The following is a 21,459-nucleotide window of genomic DNA, read 5'->3' as shown; positions in this document are numbered from 1 at the left end:
GCTGCCCTCTTTGCACATCTTCCCTGGAGGAGTATCTGCTAGGTACAGAGGATTCTGGCACCAGACCATGCTCCTTTACAAAGAGTGCAAGCACTGGATTCCCTTGGGCTAAGGGAGGAGGATGTGAGCTCCAGAGGAGGAAAAAGCGAGGCAGAAGGGAAGCTTGCAAGGAAATCATGAAAAATCTGCATTTGTAGAGACACCCTAATTAAATCTTTCCTTCAGTATTGTCTGTGAGAAGAAATATAAGTTTTTTTTTTTACCCAGGCCCTCTCTCACATTTAGAAGACAAACTAACACAGCTCCCTTAGCTAAATATTTATCTGACAGAAACTGAGAGTTTGAAAGAATAGTTCAAAAGAAATTATCACAGTGGAAGAGAGTGAGCTTGGAATTTAATTGGAAGTCCTTGATCACCCCACGATCCAGCAGGTGGGGCCCATGAAGATTAGATCAGCTGAGAAAAATAAATAGATAGAATTTGTAGAATTTATAGAAAAATAAATATGTAAAAAAATAAATATGTAGAATTTCATTGCACAGCTGAATTATGTGAATAAATTTATGATCCTGTTATACCTGTATTAAGCCCCCTCCCCAGCCTGGGCAATACAAGAAGACCCTGTCTCTACCAAAAAAAAAAAAAAAAAAGAAAAAAAAAAGAAATTAGCCAAATGTGGTGGTGCACAACTCTAGTCCCAGCTACTTGGGGGCTGAGGTGTGAGGGCCCTTGAGCTGGGGAGGTAGAGGCTGCAATGAGTTGTAATTGCACCACAGCACTGTAGCACAGGTGACAAAGCAAGATCTTGTCTCAAAAAGTAATAAAAATAAAAATAAAATAATAAATCACCTCCCCTAAACCCCTACCTCTTGCCAATGATTCCAAGCCAGGCACTCAGCATCGGGATTCATCTGCTAACACAGGCCTGGGCCCCCATGAATTATGAGGTATCTGTCTGCTCAGCCAGTTCAGAAAAACGAACTACAGTATCATTTTTCCTGTCTCCCAGCTTCTGTGTAATCTGATTTCCCTTCCACACTTGCTCCTCCCCATCACTGAAGACTTGCCCTGAACTGCCCGACTTAACCCCCTGCCTGCTTCCTAAGGGTGCCATCTCCCTAAGGACTGGCTTTGCTCATCATGTTCACAGATGATGTCTAAGAGATTTGGTTTCACCAGGTATCCAAGAGGCTACTCTATTTAACAAAATATTGCTGCCTCCTGGGAAACCCCCACCACACCTGTGGCAGCCCAGATAAGATAAACAGTAGCTCTGCCTTCTTGAATGCTCTAAATGGGTTTATTGACTTTCTGGGGCCAAAAGAGCTTGACTTTAAACATCAGGTACAGTTTATTTTGTACTGTGTCAAATCTTGGGTGCATAAGCTCATTTAAACTTCATGAAACTCTATGACCTAAATACTTACATATCCCCATTATAAAGATGAGAAAATTGAGATTTAGAGAGTGTTATGGGCTGTATTTTTGTGTCGCCCACCCTCAAATTCATCTGTAGAAGCCTTAAACCCCAATGTGATGGTATTTGAAGGTGGGGGCCTTTGGAAGGTAATCAGGCTTAGATGATATCATAGGGGTGGAGTCACCATAATGAGATTAGTGTTCTTACAAGAAGAGAAAGACTAGAGCTCACTTTCTGTCCCATGTGAGGACATAAGACTGCCATCTTCAAAGCAGCAAGATAGTCCTCACCAAAACCAGGCCATACCGGCACCCTGATCTCAGACTTCCCAGGCTTCAAAGAAATAAATGTATGTTGTTGAAGCCACCCGGTCTGTGGTATTCTGTTACAGCAACCCTAGAAGACTAAGACAGAGAGGCTAAGTAATTTGCTCATGGTTATTCTACTGGCAAGTGATGGTGAACCTAAGTTAAAGCAGTTGTCTGACACCAAACCTGAATCTATAACCATGATTCTTACCTGCCTTTCCTGTGGCCCAGTGGTTTCCAACGACATTGGGCTCTCAGTCTGAGAAGTGTCCTATAATACTGGCTTTACATTGGCCTCAGCTGAACCTTGGACGTGGCAGGTATTGCAAATATTTTCCTGGAAGGAAGAGAATAAATCAATGTGATGACTCTTGCTTGCTTCATGGAGCTCCGCAATAACTGTGGCAGTCCTGTGTTTTACTTGCTCAGATGGGCAGAAATGGACAGATTTGCCCCATAGGGGTAAATATTCCCTAGGTGGAAATTGCGATGACTACTTTGCAACCCTTGAGAAAATTTGACTGCACCAGAAACTTGGCATTCAATCAAATATCCATTTGCTTCCTATCTGACTCCCTCACTAGCATGTGATCTCCATGAACACAGAGATTTTGTTTTGTTCACCGCTGTGTCCCAGGCACTGAGAGCAGTGCTTTCCACTGAGTGGCTACTTGATCCATGTTCTTGAAAAGTGAATCCCTGTCTTCCCTAAGAAACAGGAAACTTGATTCAAATCCCTTGAGTTAAAATGTTAGAAAGAGACCTTCAGTCACTTAAAGTGACAACACACAGGATAGTGTGGGCGATTGGCACCAGGGTGAGTCTGAGCTGAATGTGGGTTAGAGTCCGGGACCATCCAGACCTAGAACCAAGACAAGGGACAGGGGCGAGGCAGCCACAGCATGGAGCAGAGCTGGTGTGGAGAGTCAGAACCAGCCTGCAGGGCGAGGGGAGGAGCCGAACTGAGGTCTCAGAAAGCCCCGATAGTACCACATTCTGAGTCACTGCAGGGAAGGAAAAATTCAAGAATTCCCTCTAGATTTCACCTCATTCCCTGGAAAAGAGGTTATCAGAGAAATCAGTAATCAAATACGGTAATGCGTATTGGGTATGTAGTGTGTGCACAGCTCCGATCTGAGCACTTACATGGATTGGTTCATTTAATCCTCACACCAACTGATCTAGCCAGAGGCTGAGCCATCAAAATTACCCAGGAAGCCACAGAGTCTGGATTTGAACCCCAGCAGACTGGCTTCCAGGTCTGCAACTCTTCATAAATGTTGAGGTCTCAGGGTAATGGCATCTATCCAGAGTCCTACTAGAGAGTACCTACATCAGACAAAATGTTGTTGGTAATTTAGACCAGTGATGTCACAATATCAGCTGGTGGTTGAAAAAACAAGAGTTTTATACACACAATGAAAATAAAGTTTTCCTAAAGTTCTGAAAGTCTCAGAGTCATGACTGCTCTTGCAGGGTTTCTTCCCTTTTAGGAATATCATGCACAATGGCAATTGCGTAGGGAGCTTGGGACACCTGTCTCTGTCAGGAGCTTGACTTCACTGAGCACATAAGCACCCACCCATCATGTGACAGGCACCACAGGAGGCACAGGGAATGCCCAGGTGACTAAGACACAGCCCTGCCCTCAAGGCACTCTTGGGGCAGCCCTGCATTTGCCCCCCCTCATACAAATGACCAGGGCAATGGAAAATATGCAGTTGCACAAAGATGTCACCTTATTGCTATGGGGCTCCTTAAAGAGCAAAATTTTCTAGTTTTAAATGTTAAACCAGAAACAAAAGAGTCTTTGCTGGGGTGGCTGATGCCTGTAATCCCAACACTTTGGGAGTCCAGCATGGGAAGATCGCTTAAGCCCAGGAGTTTGAGACCAGCCTGGGCAACAGAGTGAGACTTTGACTCTACAAAAAAATTAAAAATTAGTCTTGCATGGTGGTGCATACCTGTAGTCTCAGCTACTTTGGAGGCTGAGGTGGGAGGATTGCTTGAGCCCGGGAGGTCGAGGCTGCACTGAGCTGTTATTGCATCACTGCACTCCAGCCTGGGCAACAGAGCAGAACCCTGTCTCAAAAACAACCAAAAAATCTTTACCAAAATCTACCTGAAGGGCTTTCTTCTACCTCAAATATATAGGAGACCACACACACACACACACACACACACACACACACAGACACACTTGACAAGCACAAAAGCCACCTTGCCTAATATGCATTTTAACCTGAGAAAATGATCATAACTCAGTAGACTTAGAAATAAGATTGCCTAGTAACAACTACAAATAAAACTTCTCTTTTCATAGAAAACACAAAATTAAACCTTAAAGCCCAGTAATATAATTAAAATGAAAACCTTTTAGAACCACTGTTTTTCCTAGGAGGCACTGCTCGGAATCCCCTGCCAGCTGGCTGGGTATGTGTGTGAAAGATCGTAATATTTCAGTAGTTGCCCCTGCACCAGACATTTTTCTCACCATTGCTCGTGGCTCATGGCCACGCTGCCCGGGCACCTGCAGGATCAGTCAATTTGCACAAGCAGCTTCCCAAGTGAATGACGTACCTCCCCTTTCTGTTGTTCCCAAAGACCAACATCTGTCAGAGATCAGCATATGCATCCGCGTATTAAAGCGCTTACTGTTCTAAGGCCCTGCACTTAATTTTCCCTTGGGTAAACAGAGCCAATAATGGATAAATACTGAAGGATCAAATATCCTTAAACTATCGGAGAAAGCTGTGAGTGCAGACTTTAATCCACATCTGAAGTGAGAAAAAAGAGAAAGTAAAAAGCTATGACAGAGGCTCTCCAAATCATGAGTGAGGAACACAGGATGGAGTTTATGCCACTGGCTGTGTAACATCTTGGGAAGCATCTCCATGAATGGCCATGGGAAGGGCAGTTAGGACTGTATGAGTAAGTGCATTTAAATGTTGAATACATTGCGATCCAAACGAATGATCTTTGCACTTTTCAGAGATGAATAGCAGAAGGTCTTGCCTTCTTCTTCCAAGCAGAGTCAACCTGACACTCTCTGTAACCATACACTGAAAAGATTTCTACAAATGTCCTACTAATTGCATTTTGAGGCAAGTTCCACTAGGAAGATGAACTTTGGACAGGCTGACAGTGTTGGCCTTTGTGGACATGGTTGGTCTTCTAATGGCTGAGCCAGCCCCTAGGGGAAACACACAGCTCGAGTTTATCTTTTAAGTATAAACTTCTGAGGATGAAACTTCCAGCCTCTCTGGAATTCTTGTCTAATACAGGAACATGATGTATTTTATATATTTCTACACACTCTTTCTTTTAAAAGAATCCTTTCAAACTTTGAAATAATTTTGCCTGAAAAGATTATCCTATCCAAATTTTACCTCTTCACCATATGCAGCCACACAATTATTTTCTGATTTGCTTTAAAAAATAGAAACATTCAGCCTTTCATATTATAAATTTCTTTCTTGTAACATAAAATAGTTAGAGATGTTTCCTTATTACTTGAAAAGAGTACATAAATCAACCTTGCCAAGGACTGATATTCATCATAGCCATGTGTCTGTCTAACCTAAACCATCCAGGTCTACTTTTGAATTATTCCTATTTGGAAACCTCAAAACAAGATTAAATATACAGCTGATGGCTTCGGTAATAAATTGCTACAAGTAAAGCAGAAAGAGAAGCTCCAAGTGAGATACTCCTGGGAAAGCAGGCTGGCATTTTCCATAGAAGAGCCACAAACGTGTCTACACTGAATTGTTGTCCACCTCCAAAATTGCTGCCATATCCAGGCAGCTGCCATTAGCCCTTTCCTGTAGGAGGTGGGGCGTCTTCTCCCATTCAGCCTTGTCTGTAAAACACCTGGATAACCTGCAGAATGGACAAAGCAAAATATCACCTACACATGAATAAGAGAAGCAGGACAGCCCATCCAACTCGAAGGCAATAAAAAGATTTGGTGTAATCCAAAGAAAGATATGGTCTAATGCAGGAACTTAGGTTCCCTGTTATCTCTTTTGTAAGAGTGAGCTGTTGGTAAAATGCCGAAAGAAATAAAAAAAATATGGACAGCAGCTCCGAAGAAGTACATCACATTTATTTTTCAATGGATTAAAGAATGGTTAAGCCTTGAGAAGTCAATGAATAAATCACAACACATAGAACCTATAAATAATATATGAGCTGAATACATAACCAACTGTGTTAAAGCTCTGTTAGTAAAAAGACCAATAACCAAGAAGGCAGAGACAGCAAAAAGATAAATAAATAAAATCGCTGTCACTAATGAAAGCTCTTCATTCTTATTGCTTATGTTTTTGCAACAGTCCCTTCCATTTATATAGTGAAGACAAACTAACAGACAAGCATGTGGGTTTGAGGCAATGGTCGTATGACTTCGTCATTTTGAAGATCATTTGACATTTCTCCTTTTGTAATTGCATGACTTCAAGTATTTGTTGATTTCTTTTCTGGAAAATTTATTTCTGTGTTCCCATATTCCTCAGAACAAGAGGCCTTCAAGGCTAGTCTTGTGTGTGCACATATCACATGTGATATTTTCTCATATGATAGTCACAATTTATCTGCAAGTTGAGTATTATCGTTATTTTAAAATGAGCAAAGTAAAGGGTTTTTGAGGCTAGAAAAAGTGCTTGTAGACAGTATATAAAGTGTTAGACGTCTAACCCAGATGTATCTGAACCCCAAGTCTAGTGTAATACATTCTGCTGTCCCCTTCTTTAAAAAGTAGATAGAAAAGCAGATTCCTGCCTTTTAACACCAAGAGCTTCTTTTTAATTTTTTATTTCTTTTTCATTGGGCCCGAGTTTTTGTAGAATTTTGACCAGCAAACAAATGATTAAAATTAAGTCACAATGAATTCTCTATTTGTATTCACAGAAAACATTTATTAAAATAAGAGCATATGACCAACATGAGATAATACTGAGCCAATATCATTCCATTAAAAGGTTTTCAGAAAGATATTCTTAGTAGTCTATTCGAGGAGCAGAATAATAGTGTTTAAATGTTTAATCTCTATGATTAGGCTTTCCGGAATATTAAAAAGAGCCATCCAGTGGGCCTCTGGAACTCCAGGGATCAGTGGTCTCTAACCTGCCATCAGAAGACACTAGATTCTGTGTTTTTAAATAACAGAAGCAGGTGATGTGATTGTGCTGTTCGTGAGAAAGCATTACCTTGAGGCAGAAATCCTTTCATATACCAGGCTAAATCCCTCCTGCTCCAGCATAAACCCATTTCCTCTTCTGGCCTCCGGAGAAAAGGGAACAGCTGCTGGGTGTCTTTTAACTCTTCCTCTGGGGCCCAGGGGGCTGGGCCACTTTACTGTCAGTGCACCACATTGTGAGCCATGTTGGACAGATTCCTAACGAATGTTAGGTTTGTTATCCCCACTCTCATTTCCCAACATATTTTCCAGGTTCTCTTTTTGTTGTGCAAGTAGGGATTTAGATTCTGGGGATCCGGACATAAAAGCTTCAGACTCGGGAAGTATCTCACAGGACTGCTTGTATTCTTCATGTAGCACCAGGCTGGAGGAGAATGAAAATCTGATACCATGATAGCTGAAACTAATATCTATTGCTGCTATTCCAATTGCATTTAGTACTTCTGGAAATTCTTGCCTCGGATCACAGTCATATTACCAGCTGGGGTCAAAATACCATATGAGGGATTCATATTTCTGTCTAATTCATTATACTGATGGCTTTTATGAAGCATCTGGAATTGGAAGTACTGGAAGGATTCACAGGGAATCCATTTGAAGCCATGACAAAACTGTTTTCCATTGATCAGTCAAATCCTGCCCAATCAGGAAATGACATTTTCAGTTCTCATCAAGTCCATTTTTAATATCCCATTAACAAACAAAAATATAGATATAAAAATAATAGTTAACCCCACACTTAGAGAGTCCTAGGGAAAATTCCAGGAAAGAATTTGATGCATCTCCTTCTATCCCACACAAAACAAAATCCAAGTTGGTCAGACAAAATATTTTTCTCTTATTGTGTTGCTTTGGATCTTCAGGTCTGAAACATCAAATAACCCTTGTAACAACATTTAAAATAAATCCTAATCTTTTATACAGCTCCTTAATGGAACCAACTTTCCAACGATTTGCTATCTCACTAAGAAATACAAAACAGGCTCATGCCTGTAATCTCAGCACTTTGGGAGGCCAAGGCAGGCGAATCACAAGGTCAGGAGATCGAGACCATCCTGGCTAACATGGTGAAACCCCATCTCTACTAAAAATACAAAAAAATTAGCCAGGCGTGGCGGCGGGCACCTGTAGTCCCAGCTACTTGGGAGGCTGAGGCAGAAGAATGGCATGAACCCAGGAGGCGGAGCTTGCAGTGAGCCGAGATCACGCCACTGCACTCCAGCCTGGGCAACAGCACAAGACTCTGTCTTAAAAAAAGAAAGAAAGAAAGAAAGAAAATAAATACAAAACAAGTATTCTAAAATATATTGGTTCCAATTTGTAGAAAAAAGAAATCACACAGAGGTGAGGTCCAAGGCATTATTTTCTGTCAGCCCAGGTTCTCATGAAGTCAAGATTCCAGGAAGAAGTGTATGTATCCAAGGCTCTGTATTACAGAGCTGTCCTTCCTCCATAACCTTTAATTTTTATAACAATTTTCAAATCTTTTTATTTCCCTGTGGCTTCTGAGCCTCCACAAATAACTTTCTAAAGTCATTCTCTTTCAACTATTAGAACAAATACTGACTGGAAGAGTTCTGTGAAAAACAGACACTAAAAATTGGTCTTCCTACTGAAAAAAAAAAGGCCTCCTGAGGAACAGGATTCAGATGAAAATCTAGTGAATTCAACTTGACTGGATTTTCTAAACCACCTATACAATCTCCACAGACATTTTAAGGGGGCGAGTTCCACGTCAATTTATAGCTCTAATTCCATCTAATCTTAAAAATAAAGTTTATATCGTGAATGTTTTTGTCAGAAGCATTTGAAACAGAGGAGCTCCATCTTGAATAGGAGCTGGGTAAAATAAGGCTGAGATGAAATGGGCTGCATTCCCAGACAGTTAAGGCATTCTAAGTCACAGGATGAGAGACGAGGTTGGCACAAGATACAGGCCATAAAGATCTTGCTGATAAAACAGGTTGCAGTAAAGAAGCCAGCTAAAACCCACCAAAACCAAGATGGCCACAAGGGTGACCTCTGGTCATCCTCACTGCTACACTCCCACCAGCACCACAACAGCTTACAAATGCCAGGGCAATGACAGGAAGTTACCCTATATGGTCTAGAAAGAGGAGGCATAAATAATCCACTCCTTGTTTAGCATATCATCAAGAAATAATCATAAAAATGGGCAACCAGCAGCCCTCAGTGCTGCTCTGTCTATGGAGTAGCCACTCTTTTATTTCTCTACTTTATTAATAAAGTGGCTTTCACTTTACTCTACAGATTTGCCATGAATTCTTTCTTGCAGGAGATCCAAGAACCCTCCCTGGGGGTCTGGATCGGGACCTCTTTCCTGTAACATTTTTATTGAAAACTAACAACTTCATTTCCGCTACCAACTGAATTAAAAGAAGGATAACTACATTAGTGCATATATGCATACATAATTTTATGACACTAAGTAATTGTTGATAAACATGAGTGTAATCACGTAATTCACCCTCCCTCTACAGCTAAATTCATCCTGGGCTTACTCATACTGTTCTTCACAAAAGCTAAATATGATAACATGCAAGACACTTGCACAACCTGTATCTCATCTCTCAGTATTCCTTGATATTGCCTGTGCTTCTGATATACTGAACTGTTTTCAGCTTCTGAAAATGTTGTATTTTCTAAAACCTCTCTGCCCCTGCACATGCCATGCCTTTTATGTAGAATTCCCCTCCCTCTCCTCTTCTCTTCCATGTGAATATTCCTCTTCCACCAGGGTTTACACCCCCAATTCATGCCTGACTTTTGCTGAGTAGTCTATTCTCTCTATCCCTCCTTTGATCAAGACTGAATTAAGTTATCCTCCTTTGTCTTCCCACAACTTCTTGTGTTATCATTATTTTCCATCATTCCTACTGGAGGGACAATACCATGAGATTAACAACTGGCTGGTTACCAACTGGCAGCCAGAAGAGTGGGTGGGGCAGCCCCTGAGGGGCACCTGTTGCCTCTGCCGAGCAGCTTGTGCAGTGGCTTCCAGAACCAGGAGTGCTAGCTTGTACTAGAAGAGGGTGGTCCCCCCCATCATAAGCTCTGTGGCTCCGGAGGTTGCGCAGAGTCAACATACTCAGAGTCAACCATTTAGATTTCCTGTCCCTGGGCCTGGCACAATGGCAAGCACCTACAGTTCTAGCTACTGAGGAAGCTAAAGCAGGAGGGCTGCTTGAACCCAGGAGTTCAAATTCAGCCTGGGCAACATAGCAAGACCCCATCTCTAAATAAATAAACAAACAAATAAAATAAATTAACTGATGTCTTGTCCCCAACCTGAACTTCAGGATCTCAGGTTTTCTTAACCAGTGCTCTGACCTTAACCTGGCAGACGTGCCTTGACCGAGCATTCAAACGTCTCTGGCATCCATGACTCTATTGGATCGTCAGTCTACTGCCTAACTACCTCTACTCTTTCAGCACAAGAGAGAAGGACCTCTTTGTCACCCTGTAACTGCTTGTTAATGACCCTCTTTCTAGTTATCCTTCTGAGGGGCACTTATACAACTTAGCAATAACTAGCCAGCTCTGCAGACTTTGTATGTGTTCTTCCAAATGCTCAAATCATCACATCTGTAATCATTCTACTTCATCTGGACATTTCTCCAGTTCACCACCTGAGAAATTAAACTCCAGGGACTACCTGTATCTTCCATGGCACTCATGATGGTATTCTCTTCACCTGCCAGGTGGCGACAGATCCAGTTCCAAACTTCATGTTACTCCTGTTTTCTTGGCCCACTCTCAGAATTATTTGTATTAAAAAACCTTTGAGAAGCAGATGCCAAAATGAGGTTAGATGTGCAACAGATTTATTGAAGGAAATATCCAGAAGGGAAAGAGTTAGAGGAGGTGGGACAGCCTTCGGACCGGGATTCAGGTGTAACCCCTGTAAAGGAGAGAGGGAAGGAAGGAGGGTTACATAGGAAGAGCCACAGACTGGAATGCATTTCTAAAAGTTTTAGCTCAGCTAGTGGGGAATCCTTGAGCAAAAGTTGCCCAAGTCAGACATTGCAAAAATTAGGCATTAGCCAGGAGCAGCCTATGGGAAATGTGGGCCTGGCAGGAACACAGTGGTAGGCTCAAATCTCAGCACCTGAAGCCATCCATCAAACACCTCCTCTAGCAGACATGTGAGGGCATACTTTTATAGCCACCACAGTCACCCAGTTGGTAAATGACTGGCCTTGTTATAAAATATAGATGGGTAGTTTAACTGTGCATACTTTCTATATGTATGAATTTCAGTTACAATGATTTAAATAACAACAATCCTCCAACAAATTTCACGGTATATTAAGTGGGAGTAATTGCATAAAATACAGACTTTGCTGCCAGCTCTTTTCCCACAGATCATTACATTAATAGCAGATGCTTATCATAATCAATGGACCACTAATGCTACTTCTTCCAGTCTGTTGGTGATGGGTCACTGCGTCTCAGTTATTCAGTTCATGCATAGACAGCAAAGTGTGTGTTGGTATCAGGACCATGTCTCCCAGAGGTAAACCCATGTGATATTTACACAAATGGATAATCAGTAAAGGAAACTGGCCAACAAATATGAAAGTGAAACACCACACACACACACAAATAGAAAAAGTGATGATGCTAGAAGTGAAATTTGTATTGAATGTAAATAGAGTTCTAGAAGAAATAGCTGATTATGGAATGTTGACACTGCCACTGATGGAGAGACTCTAGATTTGCAGCCAGAAGAACATGGTGAAGGTGAAGTTACCAACAGAAATGCAAAAACTTGTAGTGATGAAAAGGATGAAGATCTCCCAGAGAAACTGATGCCATTAAAAATCTTTACCCTAAATGGATACTCAGAGATACTTCACAAGGTTGAAAGTGCAAAGGATAAAATGTTGGAAGCTGATCCAAACTTAGAATGGGCTGTCAAGATTCACCAAAGCCTAGAAAAAAATGCTCACTTAGTACTATAAGTTATACATGAGAAGACAAACATTGCTCAAACTATTCTTCATAAGTTCTTTTACAAAAGTATTAAACACTTTAAGTCCCATTTCTAATGCTTTAAATTACAGCATACTAAAAAAAACTTTTACCATGTTTTTTAATTTCCTTATACATTTATAAACAACAGTAAAAGAGATTTCAGTGTTTTGACAGGAAATTTTAAAGGTCACAGAACAATCATAATTTTTCCCCATTGATTATTAAGACTACTACTATGTATGGTTTCAGCTCATACAGTCATTTTTATGATCCTGTCTAGAGCAAGGAGTGCCTGCATATATCATTGACTTGGCCATGCTTGCTTTTCTTCAGTAATTAATAGTCACTAAGGATTTGGATAATTGGGTAGGACAAAATATGTGATAACAATTCAACATAGGAAACTAATAAAATTATAATAATGTTCAGCAGTTTTAACCACATGCCATTTGTAACATAACCAAATGTCACATTACATCACATGAAAAGTTTTTCTAACATTTTTAAAGGTTAGGAAATCAACAATTATTATCTGACCACTGAATTCTGAAAGTTCAGTAAGAAAGTTGAGGCATTTTCCCCTAGCAATTTACTGTATAAATACCTTTTCGATGAGTAAATGACATTGAGCAGCATATAAAAAGAGACTTTCCTCAGAGGCACAAGTTAGAACTCCTTTCATGGCTTCTGGTTACTGTCAAGATGGTACATACACTGCTAGCTTCCTCCCTAAAAATAAACCTGGAGAAACCATAGCAGCCAAAGAGAAGCCTGGATTGCAGGAAACAATAGAAACAACTTCCCCTGCTGACACTACAGACCACATTGAGCTGATGTGCCTAGGAGCTGAGCAACTGCAGCTGGGGGCTGTGTGTTACCCAAGTGGCAGTGAAAGGATAAGCTGGATGGAATTGTTTAATTCTCTGTCCTTCATCCCGTTTTTTTTTTTTTTTTTGAGTTGGTACAGTAACTACTCGTTCATTGCCTAGAAATGGCACAGACAGCCTAAAGCACCAGGGTTGGTGTTCTGTACCAGGGTGGTTCAAAAGGCCTGCCCGTGAGAACAATTAATGAAGGCAGGTAGTGGGTGCTGGCTAAGTAGCTGCCCTTGGGCATTTGGTTCTCCAACCCCTTCGCCTCCAGACTTGCATGGTTGCTGGAATACCTCCCCAGGAGACCGATTTTCCCTGGTGCAGGATCTTTCTAAGTGTGCAAAAGTAAAATCCTGCCCAAGAGAGTTGCCTGGTACAGTAGAAGCAACAAGGGTCACCAAGAGTAAATTTTTGGTATTTGGGCCCATTCTCCTTGAGGTTGTCTGGTCCCTTCTGTTCCAAAGCTGCTACAGTTTGTGGCATGAACTTCAGTTTCTTCCCCATGTATGTTTTCTGACTGAGTAGCTGATACCTCTAGGGACCATCAGAAGCCCAATTAATTCAGAAGACAAAAAGCTAAACATATGCCACTGAAGCAGAGTTGTGAAAATCAAGAATTTCCAATATCCTGATAAGAATATTTAAAGGAGAGATCATAGGGAATATTTGTAACATAAATCAAGAACCAGAAATAATCAAAAAGTGGAAATATTAGATAAATAAAATACAAACACTGACATAAAGAGCATGGTAGATGGGACGAACAATAGGTTGGGTGCAGTTGAAGAATTTTAAAGAGATAGAAAGCCTGATTCAGTAATTCTCCAAGAAGAAAATTTTAAATATGTAAAAAGAGAAAATATAGACAAAGAGAAGTAATAGATATAAAGGACAGATGTAGAAGTGCCAACATATGCGTGATAAGAGTACCAGAAAGAAAGCATATGAAGAGAAGAAAAAATCTTTGAAAAAACATAATTTTTTTAAAATTAATAAAAGATAAAGACTTCTATTTGAATGTGTTAAACAGTACAGATAAGAAGTGGGGGGATTTAACAATAGAGACTTAAAAATATCAAACGAAGTGAGGCTTAAGAATATCAAATACCAAGAGAGATTCTAAAAGCATGCAGAAGGAAATAACAGATCATCTACAAAAGAATAAAAATAAAGTTGCGATCAGACTTACCAACAGCAATGCTAGATACACAATACACTAATATTTGTACGTATTAAAGAAAAATAACTTTATTCCAGAATTTGATAACAAGCTAAAATGTTATTAAAATATGAATGTGTAATACAAATACTCAGTGACACATCAGGCCTCAGATTTTCTACGCAAAGATCTACCTTGAAAACACTCTTAGAGAAAGTATTCAAATAATGTGAAGAGAAAAATTTAGGAGCTAGTTCATAAGTTATTAATTGTAAAAGAAATCAATGACTTTGAAGTTTATCATTCCTTGAAGTGATAAAGCAAAACAATGAGACGAGTAAGGCTCAAAGTAACAAAAGGAAGTATATCTATCAACAACCTGTAAATAAACTTTTACAGTATCAATATAATGTGGTGCTGAAGGAGACAATGTTCCAGGTTCTTATTTTTTAAAATTTAATATGTTTAAGAATTCAAGAAAAGTGAATAAAACTGAATATGAGTTTGAGGCAAGTAACCACAGTAGAGACAAAATTATAAGGTTTAACTTTTAGAATTATAGACGAGAACTTGAACTATCCAATGGAAAGCCACCTCAAAATGAAAAAAGGAAAGGAAAGATATAAAATGAAATTTAAGAAATAAATTCTAACATGAAGTAATTTCAATAAACGTATATGAGTCAAATTTACTAATTAAGAGACAGAAGTTCTCATATTGGATACAAAAAATCAAACCAATTAATATATTGTCCAGAAGGGACACACTTAAAACAGAAGACACAGAGAGGTTGAAAATAAAAGAAAAAAGATAGACCAGAAAAATGTATATCAAAAGATTCCTAAGGTAGCAATTGTACTACACAACACAATATAATGACATAAAGGGAAATGTTAAATAATGGCTAAAGGAACAAAGAAAAAAAGAAGATATTATAAACCTACATGGACAGCCTCAAAATAGCAAAAAGAAAATCTGATAGAATTTCAGATGGAAAAATCAATTATTATAGCTAAAGATTTTAGCACATTCGTCTCATAAACTAATTCAATCAAGTAGACATAAACTAAGTAGAGATATCAAGGAAATGCCAATATACTTAATAGGCTCAAGCTTTTAGACATGTATAATACTCTATATCAAACAGAAAATAGTCAAGGAATATTTACAAGAGCAAACCACACATTAGCCACATAAGGAACTCAAAACTTAGGACTAAATAAATCTTAAATGATAGATAACATACAGAATTTAGTTTCCCTCTTATGATAAAATAAAACTATGAGTTAGTAATAAAATGATAGTTTTTAAAATAAAAAATAGAAGCCAAGTCATGTATTTCTAAACAATCCTCGCAACCAGAAGGAAATCACATAGGAAATTAAGAAATCTCATTACAGAGATCTTCATTACTATTGATAAGCTTTTTACATGATCTAAGACTTACAAAAATGTGCCACAAATCCCAAAGCTAACCCCAAACAGATTCCCATTTTCTTGAAATTATCAGACCCCAGATATTGTAAGGAACTGGTTGAAAATGGCAAAGGCTATGACAGTCTCTTCTTAGCGGGGATGATTCCTGAAGGTTGCATCCTCTTCCTAATCTACTTTGAAAAATATTAGACCACTCTTGTTAATATATTCATTGTAATCTAGTTACCTATTTGACCTTTCAGGATCTCTTTTTTTCTTTGGGGTTTTTCATAGAAATTCCTAGTTCTTGTAATATAATATAATATTCCAAATAATATTCCAAATAAGCTATAGTCTATAGCTTTCATATTAAATTAATAGCAAGTAAAAACTAGTTTTATAAAAGTCAACAACAAAAATTCATATAGTAGTTAAAAATTTAGTCACATGTGAAACTCATGAGGACAATTTTACTCTTTGTATAGAGAATGAAGAAAGAAAAAAATATTTAGACAGAAAGCTGTAAGAGCAGAATAACAGAAGTAAGAAAGTTAGGGTGGAAAGTGAGTGGGCTGCAGAAATAATTCATAACTTGGAGATGGAGAAAGCCATAGGACAGGAATGAAAGCACATTAAACATGCTGGACAGAGAATATTATTTAATTCCTGAGTGTTGTTGTTCAAAAGAAATACTAAAAAGGAACACTAAATAGCATAAGACCCTGATAAGACCTGTGTTCACTCCTTCCTTCCTTCCTTCCTTCCTTCCTTCCTTCCTTCCTTCCTTCCTTCCTTCCTTCCTCCTTCCTTCCCTCCCCCTTCCTTCTTTTCATTCTTTCTCTCTTTTTCTCTTTTGTTTTGGACACAAGTTTATTAGGGACATTCACAGCCTCTCACAGAGCAAAGTTCACTTTTCCTACACTCATATTACCTCTCTAAGGAGGAGATTTAGCTTCAAGATATAGTCCAAAACTATGCGCTTGCCTCTGTCTGCCGCAAATCCAAAAATAGGGAGTTCATTATATACCTAGTTTTTATTTGAGATTTTGACTTCCTGAACCAGAACCTATGGTCCCACTTACAGGTTACCAAACCAGGTAAATGGAAGGTCTCAGTTACATTGGTATCATTAAAAGCAAAACAAGGACTGGAGTTACACATGTATAATTTTTTGAAAGGTAGTCAGTAGGCTGAGTTTTGTGAGGGCCATATACGAGTATGAACCAGGACCTGCTGTGATTTCCTTCTCAAATAAATACCTGCTGAGGATCATAAATCACCCATATTTTAGATTGATCGAGTATGTGTGTTTTTACCAAAGGCTGATAGGAGCAGCAGAAACAGCTCAACTAGTTTCTGAAGTGAACAATTAAATCCAGTGTTTACCTCCTTAATGTATCATGGACTGTATATTGGACCCAAACATCAGCAAAATTTATGAGATTTATTGAATTAATTTCTAGTTCCAAATTGTATAGCCCCTATATCTTTAACTACAGGTGCCATACCATAACTATAACACCTTCTCAGTGGCTTGAAAGGGTTTCTGTTTGTTTGTTAAGGCTTAACAACCAGAAAGTGGTTTCAGCACAGGCCTATGGGGGAAAAGTGATTTCATGGTTTTTCAAATACATTTATATAAATGATTTCTACCACCTTCATCCAACTCATCCAGAAAAACCACCTGGGTGATAGTTATCCACTCTTAGAGGGTTATTTAAATACTTTAAAAGTACGTGAGAGAAAAGTCCTTTACAATTAAACAAGATCATCTGTTGATGATGGTTCTTTGTGACTGACTGTATAGACCACATCCTATGCTATCCTAATTGGTCAAGCAGGCGAATGGATTTCAGTGTTGCTCCTAGATTGACCTAATATTCCAAACACAAACAACCACTCTCTCTTTGGAAGCAAGGAGGTGGATTTTTACCCACTGTCTCATTTCTCTAAGAGTAACAGGAGCAAGTAGATTCAGTATGTGCATTTAGTATTTTAGAAGCCTAAGGCAAGGTAAGAGGTATGCCCGCAGCTACTTTATGGAAGAGGAAGCCCATGGGTCTCTCTAGAACACAGATGCCCTGATCATGGGAGAAATGGGATGGGATGTGGAGTCATTCCTTGTTCTGATGGTAAACAGGGAGCATCACACAGCTAGGGAGAGTCTTGCTAAGTTCTTTCTCACCCATCAGGGCAGTCATATAAATCAGTACCCCAAAAAAAGGCCTCATCTGGTGAAAACACTATCCACCATCCTCTCTGGACACTATAGTGGAAGTAAAATGAACAAATTTAGGAGTTGGTTCTTCTTGATACCATAAATTACTCAATATTTAACGACAAGGCACTATTCCCAGAATGTATTACATGCAACTTCCAAGTGAAAAAAATTTTATTGCCCTTTAAAAGAGACTCAGGAAAACATACAAATCCTCTCTAGCAAGAGGATACTTATGGTCCCAGATTATTCCACATGCCAAGTGCATTTCCTCCCCACGTGCATCAGGATGTGGTCAGTCTAATACAGGTCTTTATATAATCAGTGATCGTGAAAATGGTCTTTCTGCTTTCTCAAAGAAGATAGAAACCCATGTCCTCTTCTAAGTACACAGGACACAATTCTCTTCTCTGCCATATGAATTAAATTCTCCTGATCTAATCTAGAAGACACAGCTGAAATATACTGTCACTCATTATACTGAAATTCGCTTTCAGAATTATAATATATTCATTCTGCCATTACCTGTCTTAAGCTTCTTTCTTTCTACCTTTCTCTGACTCCCTGTTTACCCTGGAGTTGTAGGTTGTCTCCCCCTTATGATCCTTTATTCCTTGTTTCCCATTTCCCTAAATCACTAAAATTACATTATTTTCATAATGGCTTATGAAAGCTCTTCAGCCTGGGGTATTCACAGGTACTTGGCATATAATCAAACCTGCTGAATCGCCCTCAGGACAGGTTTTGGTACAGTCTGGTGCAGTTTTATGTTTTCTGTTTTCAGAGCTGCCCAAGATTTCAAAAGGAAGTCTATAACACAGAAAGATTTTAAGGCCAGGTCTTACATTAAATTAAAGGAAAGAATGTGTCAAGGGATGTCTCAGCAAGGCATAGTACAAGAGGAATGGAAGTCTGCTCTAGCTATGGAAAACTGTGGGGAAGTTTGAAAGGAGAAACCAGACTGAATTGGGGCAAGTTCCTCTGCCATGCTGAGTGACAGTTACTCTCATTGAGACATGGTAGAAGACAAATAGGTATTGTTTGTAAACTCTAAATGGTTGTAAACTTAAATTTTTTCATTTAAAAATATTATCCTGCTGCTTTAACTGCTCAACAAATTCGTTAAAGTGACTAAGAGGACTCTTACTTAATTCCTTCAATATGGCAAGACAAGTTTTTAAAAAGGAAAAAAGAAAACAACAACTGAATTTGAACAGCTTGAATTCCCATTAACAAAAGACAAACTGGCAAAATAATTTAGGGTCCTCAGTGCTTATTATTTGAAACCAGCCACTCATCTTGGTCTTTGCACAGTAGTAGAGACTGAGCTAATTTACTGAAACCAGTGAACAGAGTTGCACTTGTGTGGTGTGAAGGTGATGGGCTTTCAGATAAAGTTGCTTTGAGTGGAAATCAGTGTAAGGAACACCTGGCCTAACTCCCAGCAGCACATTAGTTAGAAACTAGAGAAAGACCCACTTTTAGAACCACTAATGAGCCCCAGGTGAAAACTCTGTTAACTAGACAGCTCCTTTTTTCAAAATTTCCAATGTTTTGATTGATAAGCAAATTGCTTAGGATTTCTAATCTTCCATTACATTAAAACATAACCTTTGTTGTTTTTTTTTTTCTCCCAGGAAACACATTTTTGTCTCTAGCTACCAAATGGGTATCATTAGTTATAGAATATATCAGCTTCCATGTGGGGAATACTTGGTGAGACAAATGTACTTACTTGTGGTAGTTTGACTCTACAGAGTGTTTATGATCCAAAAAAGTAAAATGGGAATAACTGTGGGGTTTGAAGTGGCTAATTAAACACATACTGTTGCATTTTTCTATATTTGCAACGTTGTTGCATCTGACAACAAATACAATTTTAAAGTATCTTTCTCTATTTTAAAAGAAAATAGATGCCTATTTAAATTTGTAATTAAAATGTGAAAATATCCAGTTACTGTCAACTCTCAGGTGCTGAAAAGCACTGGCTATAAGGAAAAATAACCCCAATGTGATTCATTGTCGTTTAGCATTATTTCTTCAACATATATTTAGCACATACACTGTTACCAGGTATTAAGAAGAAATAAACGCATATATAAGGAATTTAGTCGTACTGCATGCTTTTACTAAAACCGAAGTCTCATAGATGTATTGCAACATGTTGACATTTGTTTCTGTTTTTGGTTGAACATTATTTATTCGAAAAGTTATTTTTTGAAATCTATCATTCACTGGGCAATGTTTTAGCAATAGCTAAAACAGATACGGTCAATGCATTCATGGAGTTCATAGTATAGTGGTGTTGATAAACACCAAACAAATGAATGTGGAAATTGCTATAATTATGACTAAGCTCCATAGATGAAATGTCTAGGGTACAATGAGAGTGTGTATAACAGAGAAACTTAATATTGACTGAAAAATCAGGGAGGACTTCTTTGAGGAAGTAATGGTAGGTTAAAACTAGAAAGATAAACAGAAATTAGCCAGGTAAAGAGAAAGGAAAAAAAGAGCCTTCCACATAGCAGACAAGGCCTTATCAAGGCCCTTGAGGCAAGAAGAAACTTGGAATCAAACACCTAGAAGAGAGAAAAGGCAGGAATCTCTGTAATGGTTCACATTTCGCTGCCTTTTTAAATGAGAGTGCTGAACATGTAACACATTTTTTCTGACTTTTCAAGTCATCATTTTAATCATCAATAATTATGCTGTGCTAAGAAAGGGTATCATTTGGAGTTATAAAGATGATCCTGAGATAAATGCTCCCAAATAATTGTGCTTCTTAAGTTCTTATATTTAAGGTGTCTGGTTTTCCTGTATTTATTTATTTTTGTTGTCAATACCACTTTTGATTTCTAATAGCGTTTATGCTATTAACATTGCTCTTATTGTTAATTGTTATCTTATAATCTGCTGTGGTCGGCAAATATAGATTATATATATCTACTAGACATGTGAAGAAGCAGGAAAAATGTGACCCATAGTCAAATTTAAAATCTGTCCAGGAGAAACAGACAAAGGAATGAAAAACACAATATTTTTTTGCAGTAAGGATGTAAAAATGGCTACTACAATTATGTACAAGGATTTTTTAGAAACGTATATAATAATGATAAGGATTAAAGATATAAAAATAATCAAATGAAATGTCTGGGGTAATACATATGAAATAAAAAAACTAAATAATTGGACAAGTAGAAGAACTTGTTAGACTCAACAGAAGAAAAACATCAGACAAGAAACAGAAGAAAAAGGTAAGCAACAGAAATTTTTCAAATATAAGTACAGAAAAACTAAAAAGACTAAAAAGTTTAACAAAACTTCAGAATTATGGAACAACATCAAGAGGTCTATCATATTTACAGAGTTCAAGAGGAAATAGGCAAGAAGAGGGTACAGAAAAAAAATTTAGAGAAATAATAACTGAAAAATTCCAAACTTGGTGAAAAATATAAACTAAACCCACAAATCTAAGAAAGTCACTGAGTCCAAAGCAAAATAAATACAAATAAAACCGTACCAAGGAAGATCATAATCAAATTTCTGAACACTAATGTTAAAGTTATGAGAAAAATTACAGAAAATTATAAAAGCAGATATTTTTAATAATCACATACAGAGGAACAAAGGTAAGAGTGAGTTCTGACTCCTTATGTAAAAATACAGGCAAACCAGAAGACAAGAAAATGACATATTTAAAGTATTGAAAAATTCTACGTAAGCTATAGAAAGCTAGAAAGAGCATTCCTCCTATACTAGCAACAAGAAAACAAGAAAAATGTAGATAATTTTGCAAGTCGTATTTTTTCCTGTGCCATTAGAACTAAAAACCTGGGGCTACCTACTAGCCTGACATCTAAGCAA

At 38.3% G+C, this 21,459-nt stretch overlaps 1 long non-coding RNA gene across 2 annotated transcripts in view; it reads right to left on the bottom strand.

Annotated features, from left to right (window-relative positions):
• MSC-AS1 (MSC antisense RNA 1) overlaps positions 1-21,459 on the bottom strand; it is a 213,190-nt gene that overhangs the window by 91,324 nt on the left and 100,407 nt on the right. For both annotated transcript variants that reach the window (NR_033652.1, NR_033651.1), the window contains one exon: positions 1,941-2,066. This is a non-coding gene — a long non-coding RNA (MSC antisense RNA 1). The remainder of the gene's footprint in view (positions 1-1,940; positions 2,067-21,459) is intronic.

The sequence above is a fragment of the Homo sapiens genome, chromosome 8 (genome assembly GCF_000001405.40).
Source record: "Homo sapiens chromosome 8, GRCh38.p14 Primary Assembly".
Lineage (NCBI taxonomy): Eukaryota > Metazoa > Chordata > Mammalia > Primates > Hominidae > Homo > Homo sapiens.
Note: the sequence above shows the minus strand (reverse complement) of the source record. Positions and strands in the feature narration are given on the sequence as shown.